This window comes from Homo sapiens, chromosome 11 (assembly GCF_000001405.40).
Source record: "Homo sapiens chromosome 11, GRCh38.p14 Primary Assembly".
NCBI lineage: Eukaryota > Metazoa > Chordata > Mammalia > Primates > Hominidae > Homo > Homo sapiens.
The window spans coordinates 18,599,761-18,613,122 of NC_000011.10; the positions used below are offsets into that span (position 1 = coordinate 18,599,761).

The 13,362-nt window shown below is 41.6% G+C and overlaps 2 protein-coding genes across 3 annotated transcripts in view, besides 1 other annotated feature; one reads left to right on the forward strand and one right to left on the reverse strand.

The window, feature by feature from the left end:
• Positions 1-28: 28 nt before the first annotated feature.
• On the forward strand, positions 29-10,114 carry MISFA (mitochondrial sheath formation associated). Of its 2 annotated transcripts, NR_038360.4 has the most exons (5): positions 29-237; positions 1,332-1,420; positions 3,398-3,435; positions 4,012-4,109; positions 9,478-10,114. NR_038360.4 is itself a non-coding variant. In NM_001355570.4 (4 exons), exons 1-3 carry the CDS (start codon positions 169-171, stop codon positions 3,417-3,419), a joined length of 180 nt encoding a protein of 59 aa, NP_001342499.1. In that variant the 5' UTR covers positions 29-168; the 3' UTR covers positions 3,420-3,435; positions 4,012-4,123. The 2 variants fall into 2 exon arrangements, 1 of the variants encoding a protein (NP_001342499.1); NM_001355570.4 differs by lacking the exon at positions 9,478-10,114 and having other exon boundaries at positions 4,012-4,123.
• The window catches only part of SPTY2D1 (SPT2 chromatin protein domain containing 1), a 27,940-nt gene continuing 21,220 nt past the window's right edge, over positions 6,643-13,362 (reverse strand). Inside the window, exons 4-6 of the mRNA NM_194285.3 lie at positions 12,554-12,728; positions 11,717-11,794; positions 6,643-10,194 (exon numbers count right to left, since the gene is read on the reverse strand). Of these exons, the coding sequence (NP_919261.2) occupies positions 10,101-10,194; positions 11,717-11,794; positions 12,554-12,728 (347 nt within the window). The 3' untranslated portion in view covers positions 6,643-10,100. The remainder of the gene's footprint in view (positions 10,195-11,716; positions 11,795-12,553; positions 12,729-13,362) is intronic.
• Positions 8,682-8,976: a silencer, noted in NCBI's record as "tiled region #7651; HepG2 Repressive non-DNase unmatched - State 15:Elon". NCBI's record gives its function as "represses a minimal TATA promoter and a strong SV40 promoter by Sharpr-MPRA in HepG2 cells {active_cell/tissue: HepG2}" and the evidence as "EXISTENCE:reporter gene assay evidence [ECO:0000049][PMID:27701403]".

Sequence of the window (13,362 nt, forward strand, 5' to 3'; positions counted from 1 at the left end):
TTTCAGCTTCTCCACTAGGGAGTTGTGGATCCTTTGGAGCCAAAGACTCGAACAGACATGCGAGACCTCTACCAACTGAAGGTTTCGTGAGCGCACTCCTTTGCCAAGATCTTGGTGAATAGTCTTTCACTGTGCAATTTTATCTTAGAAATTGTTTTACGTTTGATCATGATTGTGCTTGGCTGGATGTTTTTTGTTGGACTTGTGTGTTACATGGGCACGTTTCCAGAGTTGATGGTAAGTAATGGCTCTGCCTGTAAATCCCTGGTGGTCAGTCCTGTGCTGGCTCATCTTCCTGTCTGGGTTTTCTGACCAAATGGGAAAGATAGTTGAGGTCTCACCACTAACTGGAAGTCAGAATGTGATGGGAACAAAGTTAGTGTCCCAGGCTACCGGGCTACTTCCCATCCCACTAGGGACATCCTTTTTTATTTTTTATTTATTATTATTATTATTTTTTGAGATGGAGTTTTGCTCTTGTTGCCCAGGCTGGAGTGCAGTGGCGCGATCTCGGCTCACTGCAACCTCCGCCTCTCAGGCTCAAGCGATTCTCCTGCCTCAGCCTCCTGAGCAGCTGGGATTACAGGCATGCACCACCACGCCTGGCGAATTTTGTGTTTTTAGTAGAAACAGGGTTTCTCCATGTTGGTCAGGCTGGTCTCAAAGTCCTGACCTCAGGTGATCCACCCACCTCGGCCTCCCAAAGTGCTGGGATTACAGGCATGAGCCACCACGCCTGGCTGGGGACATCCTTTTTTTTTTTTTTTTTTTTTTTTTGGAGACGGAGTCTTGCTCTGTCGCCCAGGCTGGAATGCAGTGGTGCGATCTCGGCTCACTGCAAGCTCTGCCTCCTGGGTTCATGCCATTCTCCTGCCTCAGCCTCCCGAGTAGCTGGGACTACAGGCTCCCACCACCATGCTTGGCTAATTTTTGGTATTTTTAGTAGAGACGGGGTTTCACTGTGTTAGCCAGGATGGTCTAGATCTCCTAACTTCGTGATCCGCCTGCCTCGGCTCCCCAAAGTGCTGGGATTACAGGCGTGAGCCACTGCGCCCGGCCAGGACATCCTTTTAAGTCTTTTTTTGTTTCCCCCTCCCTTGCATATATAGCTGTACTTGTTTCAAAGCACTATGGAATTTGCAAGGGGTCTGCTGGAGACCGTATTTGACTTGCGGATTGCAGGCCAAGTGGATCAGTGGTTATTGGTAGGAAGGGGGACGGTAGGGATTGGTGGGACCTTTTAGCAGCCCTTCTGGTCACCACACAGAGTGGTTACCCACTGGGCCAATGAGTAGAGCCATCTCTGCCCTCAAATTTTCTTTCTGATTCAGCCTCCAACTCTGAAGTGGCAGGAGAGGTGGCCTGTTCAGGAGAGCAAAACACAACTGAGGAGGCGGGCTTTAGGTGAAGATCTGCTGCAGTAAGTGGGTGGTCAGGTCTGGTGGGTTGGATTCCTCCCTTTCCAAAGTACTTGGTAGCACCCTGAAGTCTCAGTGGAGAATGTTTATTCCTCTGGAAAATATAATAAACTGTGGAAGGGGAAATGATTTGGTGAGTACTGCTGAGGACAGCAGGCCAAAGTTGTCTATTAATAACCATGTCTCATAGGTGTTGTTTTGAAGACTGTTCCCATCTATTATTTTTCTCCTCACAACACTGTAATATATTATACTATTAATAGCATTCTTTTTTTTTTTTTTTTTTCTGAAACAGGTCTTGCTCTGCCACCCAGGCTGGAGTGAGGTGCAAGCAGTCTTCCCATCTCAGCTTCTTGGGTAGCTGATCCTCAGGCACATGCCACCATGCCTGGCTAATTTTTTTTTTATTTTTTTAGAGACAAGGTGTCACTATGTTGCCCAGGCAGGTCTTGAACTCCAGGCCTCAAGTGGTCCCCCAGCCTTGGCCTCCCAGAGTGCTGGGATTGCAGGCATAAACCACCGTGCCTTGCCAGGACCAGCATTTTTAACGTCCCTTTTGGCAGATACTGAAACTGGAGTTAACATTGAACTTGGGTTTAGGTCCTAACTTTGTGACTTTCTAGCTACGTGACCTTGGGAAAGTTTAATTAGTTTCTTTGAACTTCAGTTTCGAAGTTTCTTCTGTACAACAGGAGATATCACTATTTTTGTGAAGATTATATTTGGGAATTAATGTAAAGCATTTAATGCAAAGCTCAAAAATTAGCATTTAGTAAAATACTAACTTAACAACAAGCAAATAATGAACCAGTCAACAAAGATTTACTGGTGACAGTGACCTCAACTATTTACCTGAGGCCACACACAGTAGCTCGTTGGTAAAGGTGGGATGCGAGCACATTTCTCTGTCTCTGGACTTCATAGCCTCCCATACTCATTCCACTAGACCAGCCTGCCTACAGGAAACACTAATGGCAGTGCCCTTAGCAGACCAGCTCCTGGGTTTCTTAACGTTTCACCCCATTTCATTCAGACCTGTTTTTTTTCAGAGCTGTGCCTATTGTTAGAGAAACTTAACTCGGAGAGTTTTAATAATATACTGATTACAGGAGCAGAAGGTTTTTTGGAAGCTACTCCAGAAGTTAGGGGTGTTTAGCCCCAGCCCCAGGTATACTAAGAGCAGGACTTGATGGTTGGGGTTTTTATCTCCATCTGCCCCAGGATTTCTGTGAATGCATTAGCCCAAAGCAGTCAGAACTTTGTGGCAGTCCTGACCAGACCACTTAAACTATTCTGTGCCTCACTTTCTCCAGCTGCGAAATGAGTAAACAGACAGCCCATCTTCCTTCTCTTCCCTTCTCAGGAAAGTTGTAAATAGGCTCACCCTACATGTTAAGAGTTTAACTGTACCATTTTATAAAATGAAAGATTTCTTTTTTGAACAGCCTAACAATAGCATATTAAGTTATTTGCTCATGGCATACCTAGCCAGCTAATTCTCTTAATGAATCCAGGCTTTTTTTCTTTTGCATAGCATCTGATTGCACAAAGCCAATAGTTAAACATTTTGGCAGGTGACGAGTTAATGAGTATACTGCCAGCTAGGTCCAAATCACAGACACACCAGAGCACAGGGCCCTTTTGATAAATTTTCTTTAACCCAACGCATCTAGCACCCTGGCCAACCATCCCATAGGTGCTCATGCTGACTGGGTTGCCAAGGTTACAGGAGCTGATATCATAATTGGTGTCTGAGCTCTGCCCCCCTAAATGGCCATGAGGAGCCACTTCAATTCAGACTAGGCCACGAAGCTCCTTAGTGAGGAGCTGCCATGCTGGGCCATCCACCATCTGGATTCCTACGACTCAGGGAATAGAACACTGCACCTTCCAGAAGCACTTGTTTCTTCGTGGGTACACCACCAGCTGAGAAAGAAGCCTCATGATGATTGTTGTCTTATGGATGCTTCTCATTGCAGGAACCATGTGGAAGGGATATAAATATCCCCCAGGAGGGGTAAGTGTACCTTCAACTTTGTTCTCTATTCCTACTTTGAAATGTATTCCCGCCCCCAAAACAAACTAAGTATGAAAATCCAACTCTAGTAACATTAGAAACAAATACTTTTATTATTTTTTTAAAGTTACTGTAGCTGTTGGGAGGGTTCCCATTTTCTTTCACGTGATCTTTAAGGCCCAGAGTCAAAGCTTTCTGAGTTGGGCAGTCTTGTCTCTGTTGTGCTAATGGACATTTTGTATGCCCAGTCTTTGATGCCATTTCCTAAGGATCAGTCCACTTCAGAAATCCAAACTTCTCTCTTCCACAAGTAAACACTAGTCTGTAAAAGGGATCTGGTGGCAGATGTCTCTTTTCTCTCTCCTCCTGCTAGACCTTGGAATTTCTGTCTTTTCTCTGCCTCTTGTCAGCTCCCCAGTGCTAAGCTCCCCTTGCATCCGGGATCAGAGGCATTAGGTGAGACAGAATTGGAGGTAACCTCCCCTGCCAGTCCTTGCCTGGGAGGCCAAATGCCTAAGCCCCCACACTAGAAACCACTAGGCCTGCATGACACACACTTTCTTTTTTCCCCCACAGACTCCAGTGGAAGTAAGCAAGGATGATCCTGGTGAAGTAATGCAGCTGTGAAGCTCACCTGACCAGCTGTACAGTTCCTGTTGTTGGTTTCACATAAAGTAATTGCACATTATTTTGTCATATTTTATGTTAAGAAGTTACCGCACTTTTTTTTTTTTTTTTTTTTTTTTTTTGAGACAGAGTCTCGCTGTGTCGCCCAGGCTGGAGTGCAGTGGCGCGATCTCGGCTCACTGCAAGCTCCGCCTCCCGGGTTCATGCCATTCCCCTGCCTCAGCCTCCAGAGTAGCTGGGACTACAGGCGCCTGCCACCACGCCTGGCTATTTTTTTGTGTTTTTAGTAGAGACGGGGTTTCACCGTGTTATCCAGGATGGTCTCGATCTCCTGACCTCATGATCTGCCCGCCTCGGCCTCCCAAAGTGCTGGGATTACAGGCGTGAGCCAATGTGCCCGGCATTACCGCATTTTTTAAGATGAATGAAGACTTAGTATTCTGTTAGCTTGTAACAGAGAGACAGAGGGTGGGGAAGTAGTTGAGTGGATGGGAGACAATTGGGTCCTTCTGCTACATGGTCTCTAAGACTGGCATTAAGATACCTAGTTTTGCCTGGCGCGATGGCTCACACGTGTGATCTCAGCACTTTGGGAGGCCAACACAGGTGGATCATCTAGGGTCAGGAGTTCAAGACCAGCCTTGCCAACATGGTGAAACCCCGTCTCTACTAAAAATACAAAAAATTAGCTAGGGCGTGGTGTGGTGGCACGTCTGTAGTCCCAGCTACTCGGGAGGCAGTGGTTGCAGTGAGCTGAGATCGGCCACTGCACTCCAGCCTGGGTGACAGAGTGAGACTCAGTCTCAAAAGAAAAAAAAAAAAGAACCCTAAGCTTATACCATGTGGGGTAAGAAACTCATTTTTAATATTAGGGTTAAATACTGAAGTATAATTATCCTAATCCTTAAAATAACCTTCTGAAGCTATTAGCCTCATCTTACAAAATGGCAAAAATGAAGTTGAGGGGCATGTTTATCTTGCCAACACACACAGCCCTGGGCTGCAGAGTCAAGATTAAGATCCAGGCCTTCTCCCTTCACACTTTCATGTGCCAAGGAAAAGAGCCAAACAAGAGACTGTGGGATATCCAAGATCTTGCTGTTTAAATGTCTCCCTCACCTGAAAACCCAAGAAGTTAGGCCAGGCGTGGTGGCTCACACCTGTAATCCCAGCACTTTGGGAGGCCGAGGCAGGCGGATCACTTGAGGTCAGGAGTTCGAGACCCGCTTGGCCAACATGGTGAAACCCCGTATCTACTAAAAATACAAAAATTAGCCAGGTGTGGTGGTGGGCACCAGTAATCCTAGCTACTTGGGAGGCTGAGGCAGAATTGCTTGAACCCGGGAGGTGGGGGTTACAGTGAGCCGAGATTGCACCACTGCACTCCAGCCTGGGTGACAAAGCAAGACCTTGTCTCAAAAAGAAAAAAAAAAAGAGAAAAGAAAACCCAGGAAGTTGCCTGATAATTCTTTTTCATGACTACTGAAAAGATGGGAGCCTGAGAGAGACCTAACAGGAGTAAATACTTTAAAAACAAATTGTATGGAACTGTACCCATTCTGAGGATGACTGATACAGTTCCAGTATTCAAAAGAAGTATACCTTTTCCAGCAAAGCAGATCTTTTGTTTACATAGAAAACATTTTGTTATTTGGGAAGTTTGCTTAACTATTTGTAAGTGGCTCTTTGCAATTAATGGATTACCTTTTTTTAATGGAAAGAAAATAAATTCAAAATCCATAAGCAAAACTTTAGTAATTTCTGACTCTAGGATACTAGCATCTTCTATTTCTTATGTGATTTAGACTCAACATTTTCCAGTGAGTTAAGTACTTACATCCTCTGGCTGTATAGCTCTGCCCATTTGCCTCGTAATACATTTTTTTTTGAGACAGTCTCGTTCTGTCACCCAGGATAGAGTGCAGTGGTGCAATCTCGGCTCACTGCAACCTCCACCTCCCAGGTTTAAGTGATTCTTATACCTCAGCCCCCTGAGTAGCAGGGATTACAACGCACGCCACATTTTTGTATTTTTAGTAGAGACGGAGTTTTGCCATGTTGGCCAGGCTGGTCTCGAACTCCCAGCCTCAAGTGATCCACCTGCTTCTACCTCCCAAAGTGCTGGGATTACAGGTGTGAGCCACTGTGCCCAGCCTGCCTCATATACATTTCTAAGGACTCCTCTTCTCAGCCATCTCAAGCTGCTTTTATCATAAGAGATAGGACCCTGCTCATTTTGACAAGAGGAACCATATACCCAGCTGTGTCCTCCCTCCATTTGAGTAAACTTCCAAAACTTGAGCCACTAAAAGATTCCATTGCTCTGACCACCTAACAGTTCTCCCAACATGGGTCAGAGAGCAGAACAGTTCTCTAAGCTGGTAGGGGGAGAGAAGCTCTATCATGTTAGAGCAGACATGAATGTGTAAGGGAGAATAAGCAGAGGAGTGTGTGCAATAGGCAAACCATATCTCTGAAGTGTGATGAGTATACCGAGGTTTCTAGCTGGAAAAATGTTCAGGGTGATGAGATAAAGAATATCTCAAAGTTTTAATCAATAAATGCAAACCAGCAAAAATATCAATAAAATATTTTTAATGCCTACAATTTCTTGTATACATAAATTGCAAAACTTTCACCTGTATATGCAAAAGTATATTCTCTTGCAGGTCAACAGCACCAGAAAACAAGCTAAGCTATCTAAAAATTTTTTTAACTTGATTTGTCCATTGTGTAAAAGACAGGATGGATTTAATTACTCCAAAGAAATCTCTATCTCACTCTTAATCATACACTAAACGTCTGAATATTTAATCACATCCACTCAGAAAATAAATAGTAGTCTAATATATTCAATACATTGAAAATAAAACAACCAGTCTCTCTTCATATATTTATTCTCTTTCCAAACATGTTTTGGTCTCCTGCTATATCTCAGAAATTTACCAATAGCTGCTTTTAAGTTACAAAATACAAAACAACAATTTATTTCTTGGAGAAAATCTTGGGGATTACATTAAAAATGAAAATTTGAGTTCCCACATTCTTTTTTTTTTGACATGGAGTCTCGCTCTGTCACCCAGCCTGGAGTGCAGTGGTGCTATCTTGGCTGACTGCAACCTCCGCCTCCCAGGTTCTAGCGATTCTCCTGCCTCAGCCTCCCCGGTAGCTGGGATTACAGGTGTGTGCCACCGCACCCGGCTAATTTTTTTATTTTTAGTAGAGACGGGGTCTCACACCATGTTGGCCAGGCTGGTCTCGAACTCCTGGTCTCAAGTGATCCGCCCGCCTCGGCCTCCCAAAGTGCTGGGATTACAGGCTTGAGCCACCATGCCCGGCCAGACTTACTTTTTTGTTAACGGTCTTTGAACCTTTTCACGGCACACATGTAAGGCCGCCTGTGACATGTGGTACCCTGGCCTCCAACTGGACACAACTGCATTTATAGTTTAGCGAAAATACAAAGTTCTGAAAGTAGCCTTAAAAGAAGTGCCCTTTGCTTTGACATAGCAATATCAAAAGCAAGTGGGACTGTGCAATCAGAGCCATGAGTTTTATGAAAACTACTTTCCTTTCACATCATTTGTTAGAGAATGCCACACCCATGATCATGTAACATTATTACAATCATGAAATATTACTACATTCGTGATTAACATTACCCAAAAGGCACATCTTCAAATGTTGAATTAAGAAAATCCAAAAATCAAAACAGTAGAGAATACATTAAAAATCAAGCATTTAATTTGTAAACCTTAATGAAATAACAGCCTACTCCAGTTTCTTCAAAGGTTTGTGAGCTTTTTATAAGAGTGGTCAGGAAGTGCAGAAAAACAACATGGAAGACAGGATTTGGAAACAAGGCCAAAATTTAAAAGACTTAACCTTTTTTTTCTTTTAAATGAGCCACAGAAGTGCTCTTTTATAATGTTGACGCAAATCAACATTTATATTATAGAAATGCACTCAGAAGTAACAGACACACAAGGTTAAAACCTGATTCTTCCCACTAAGTTCTGGAAATTTATTCTAACATAATGGTGCCTTTCTGTACAAAGAACTGTACCATATCATAAATTTACTGCTAGTAAACTTTAAGCCACCAGAAATCTTTCAGCTGTGACAAGCACTTGATTGTAATGACAGATTTCAGAGTCTGAATACTGAAAAATATATATATCCAATAAAAAATTTTTGAAGGGGGAATAAAAGCACATAAATGGCAGCAGAGGAATTGATGTTCTAAGCCTGTTTTATTACATGGGACATCACACTACCCTTAATTTCACTGAAGGTATCTGAAATGGGTGAGATGAAATCAATAGGATTTTCTGCTACCATTGTAACAGTTCTATATGTAGTTACAAAGGGTGTTATTCCTAGTGATGATGACACCTTTCATGGGATTCAACTTAAAAATTAAATCCTTGCACTTTCAAAGTTTGAAACTCAATTCAAAATGAGTCCGTCTTAAAAGCCTGGCTCATATGGTCCCATTAAGGGAGGCTAACAATGGTAATCTATAATACCCAAACTTGAAGAATAAAGACTTTATGGATAAAAAGGAATAAACCAAAATATTTGGGCTGTTGAAGTATAAGGGCCTGTTGTAGGACAATCCCTCCTACTTCCTAATCCCCCCCATACAATGGCTTAAGATAGCCAAAACGTTTATTGTAGAACGTTTATTATTCCTACAAGCTTATGTCTCACTTCCCCTAAGCCTCTGTACTTACAGTCAAGGACAAATGCTCTCTAGCATCATATCTCATTTTCTGTTGCTGACAGTTCTTGAGACTTGGCTTCCTTCCAGCATGATCCTAAGTCAGCCTGATTGGAACTGCTTGGACTTGAAGGTTAAGGGCTATTAAGTCCATATTTATGACTTTAAAAAGGGTAAAAATGAGTTTCCACAGCTCAGTAAAATAACGATAACAGGGAACATCCCTTCCTACCTGGGGAAAAAAATCTCTTCACAGTGCATAGTTTGAAATCAAAGTGCAATATGGGCAAAAAGAGAAGGTGGTGCTCTCGATACCATAAATTTAGTTTTTGGTTTTCTGCCATTAATATTTGCTAACAAATTCAAGCTAAAAAATGAAGTCATTAATGTCAAGAGGTATGAGGGCACCTTGGGATTTCAAAATATCTTTATGATGGGGGAGGGGAGGAGGGGAGAGCCTCACATGTTACTTCCTTATTTTATAAACTATTACTCTTTCAAATCTAATGTTTGAATAAAATATTTTTTCTTCGATATAAAAATGAATTTTTTTAGATAAAAATCAATCAGCACAGTGACCTTGTCTTACACTAAAGCCAACATAACAGTAAATCTGAAAGGAAAACTTAGAAAAGAATATTATACTGTTATAACCTGTATTTTAACTTGAAAATTTTTTCATTAATTCCTAGCCACCTAAATTAATGAGTAAGAATGCTCAGCATCCAATCCATGAATACAGAATTTATTCTACTTTGTACTTCAAAGTCACAGGATGACATCCATATGATAGTTATAAATTCTACTCTACATTTTCAAGTTCTCAATCCATAGATTAGGACAAGTCACTTTATTGCTGGCAACATTCATGGAAGGTCCAGGTTTCTCATAAAAAGACTAAGTTTGATTGGGAGCAGGGCAGTGCCCTACTCACAGATCAGCAGAAGAATTACAGAAATCAAGAGACAACCTTTTTTTTCCTTTCAAAGTAGCAAAGGAACAATAAAAGATTGGCTGACTGGTGAGTGGCCCCACATTAGAGTGCATAGCTCATCAGGATCAAGGCTGGCATCTGTGAACAGTTAACTTCATAAGAGCACAAGTGGGCATTATATCATCTGCATTACAGATTTCACCCTGGAAAATATCTGAAAATATTTTATGCTCAAATGACAGCCTGCAAATGACAGTATGCATTCCTTCTCCTTGAGTACCCAAGTATAAATCTAAAATGATAAGGGGGCTTCTTCAGTCTGAAGGCAGGAAATCCTTGCAGCAGAGCAGCTCTAGAATTTCACAAAAATAAAAGCAGCAGCTAACGCCTCTTCAGCTTCTTGGCCCTTCGACGTTGCATTTCTTCTTCTTCACGTCTCATTTCCTCTAAGTCCTCTTGCATACCCAGTCTTAAGCTGCCAAAGAATTTTTAAAGGGTATTTGTCAATATACATGAGATGACCACTTTCCTTAAAAAGAATGAAAATTCCAACTGGGAGCTCACATGGATTGTGCTGATGCTCTCAAAATGCCTCAAGGCTTTACCACTGAAAACAAACTAGCAGGGATATTTTTTTACCAGGGGCCACAGACTCAAATTGTCGTGGGAAAAAGAACTCACACACCACAAAAACCTTACTATTTCCATTAAAATAATAAAATATAGGTTTATCTCAATAGCTTTTAAAAATAAACAGCAAGAAGCATTTATTCATTAACTAACATTCTATTCTTGTTCTCTTCCAACACTTTAGTTTGAAATTTTATGGGCAAGAGGGAGAAAAAGATATAGTATTCTGGCTTGAGACTGAAGTGAATTATTTACCTATAATAACATTATGGCCGGGCACAGTGGCTCACACCTGTAATCCCAGCACTTTAGGAAGCCGAGCCAGGCGGATCACCTGAGGTCAGGAGTTTGAGACCAGCCTGGCCAACATATGGTGAAACCCCATCTCTACTAAAAATTACAAAAATTAGCTGGGCGTGGTAGCGCACACCTGTAGTCCCAGCTACTTGGGAAGCTGAGGCAGAAGAATCGCTTGAACCCGGGGAGGTGGGGGTTGCAGTGAGCCGTGACCATGCCACCGCACTCCAGCCTTGGCGACAGAGCAAGACCCTGTCTCTTAAAAAAAAAAAAAAAAAAAAACAACAATACTATAAACAAAGTAATTACTTTTTACCCCAATAGAGAAAGTATCATTAGCTTACTATCAGATAGCCAAACAGAAATCAGAGGAAATGTAATATACCTACATCCCTGAGGCCAGCAATGTTACAGGTTACCAAGATTGAGATGTGTCTGATGCAGAAAGAAAAGCAAGAATTTGCTACAACAGGATTAGGGAAAGCATCTAACATTTACTGTGTATCCACACATGTGAGGCACTGCACTAGGCATCTTGTACACGTCTTAATCCTCATTATACTTAAATGAGTAAAACAGTATATTCTCATTTTACAAAAGAAAATAGGCTGGGCATGGTGGCTCACACCTATAATCCCAACACTTTGTGAGGCTAAGGCAGGAGGATTGCTTGAGCCCAGGACTTTGGGACCAGCCTGGATAACAAAGCAAGACCCCATCTCTTAAAAACAAAACAAACAAAAAAAACAGTGATGGTCCAGTGCAGTGGCTCATGCCTGTAATCCCAGCACTTTGGGAGGCTGAGATGGGAGGATCACTTGAGGCCAGGGGTTTGAGACTAGCCTGGTCAACATAGCGAGACCCCATCTCTGTTAAAAAACAAAAAAACAAAAACCAGTGAAAAAACAGAACTGTTAAGGAATTTGTCCAAGGCCCCACAGCTAGTAAACAGGATTGGAATCCAGAATTCTCTGGCCCAAAGCCCCAGTTCCCAATGGTGCAATTGTAGCAATAAGCAGAAAGGAATTTTTAGGACATTTTTGCACAAGTATGCTAAATTTTATGCTTACCTCTTTGCTTCTTCCTTCTGCTGCTCTTTCCAACTACTTTCCATGTAACGTAAGGCATAATCACTTTCATCTTTGTATCTGATAAAAGGAAATCAAAATGATAAAAAGAGAAAACTTCAATTTTCTAAAGGAACTACGTCCTCTCATTTAAAAAATCAATATCTCCTTTAAAACTAAATCAAGCACACATTTAGAATTATTCCTTGCTTGGCAGCGAGTGAGGGGAGTGGAGGATGGATAGGTTTCTGAAGTAAAGACAAGTTTTAGATAAGCCCTTATTACCCTCAGAGGGCAACTATTCTGAAGCTAATGTTCATGAAGGTACCAATCCTACAGTGCTTCCTCAACTCACTCACCTACATTTACTTGATAATTTATATTAAAATTTGAAAGCACAGTATATATGAAAATTATTTTATATATAATAATCTAATTTGAGCTTCATGACCATCATGAGGTGGGGAAAGACTTTAGACCAGAGGAAACTGAAGCAGTTGAGTTAACAGACTGACCAAGAACATACAGCTTGTTTTTTCAAGAGCCAATCTACTTCTACTACACTAAGCTGCTTCCATCTCACTAAATATATATCTTATAAGAATAACAATTTAAAAGGGTTATTTTTTGTTCCTCATGCAAATAACTACAGAAACTATTTTGAATTAAATATAAAATATTTAGTGCTAAAAGAGTACGTTTATTTAAATAACAATCACCCAAGGGTTCCTAATTAAGAATTGTATTCAGTGCCTCCACTATTAGTTTATTACCCCATGACATGAATTATTCAAAATAAAAAAAGGATGTCATAGTTATCTGAATCTTCTTTAGTCTTACTTTTTTCGGTCATAACCAAAGATTTCTCTAATGTGCTTGGATATTTCTTCCTGAGGCTCTCCTTCATCTTCAATAAAATCTTCCATTTCAGAGTCGTATTCATCATCATCGTCATCTTCCTCTTCATATTCTCGCTGCCTTTTGTAACCAGTAGGGAAGGGAAGCCTTTGAGGACCTAAGAAACCATTATTTATAAGAATATTACAATTTAAAATAGTTCCAATGCAGTTCTATGTAAACTGAAATTGTGAGTCATCATTAAGATGGTATCCTTTAAAACCAGAGCAAGCAGGCTGGCCCTTAGCGCAGAGCCATCATCCTTGCTGTGTCATGGTATCCAGAAGGAACAGAACTCCTGTTTTATCCCAGGGCTTACCAGAAATATCTTGTTACATTTTCTAGCTTAGTAGTGCCAATATTTCTGAATTTATAAGATCAGTAAAATTTCTTTCTTTCTTTTTTTTTTTTTTGAGACAGAGTTTCACTTGTTGCCTAGGCTGGAGTGCAATGGTGCGATCTCGGCTCACTGCAACCTCTGCCTCCCAGGTTCAAGCAATTCTCCTGCCTCAGCCTCCCGAGTAGCTGGGATTATAGGCATGTGCCACAACGCCTGGCTAATTTTGTATTTTTAGTAGAGATGGGGTTTCTCCACGTTGGTCAGGCTGGTCTCGAACTCCCGACCTCAGGTGATCTGTCTGCCTTGGCCTCCCAAAGTGCTGGGATTACAGGCGGCGCCACCGCGCCCGGCCAAAATCAGTAAAATTTCTAAAAATAAATACAATTTACAAACCTCCACAGAATCATTAACT

What these genes read in the sequence shown, in the direction of transcription:
- MISFA (NM_001355570.4), top strand. Translation starts at nt 169, where the DNA reads ATGATTGTGCTTGGCTGGATGTTTTTTGTTGGACTTGTGTGTTACATG. An exon ending in GCACGTTTCCAGAGTTGATG is followed by an intron (nt 238 to 1,331) that starts GTAAGTAATGGC and finishes TTTCTGATTCAG; the next exon opens with CCTCCAACTCTGAAGTGGCA. An exon ending in TTAGGTGAAGATCTGCTGCA is followed by an intron (nt 1,421 to 3,397) that starts GTAAGTGGGTGG and finishes TTCTCATTGCAG; the next exon opens with GAACCATGTGGAAGGGATAT.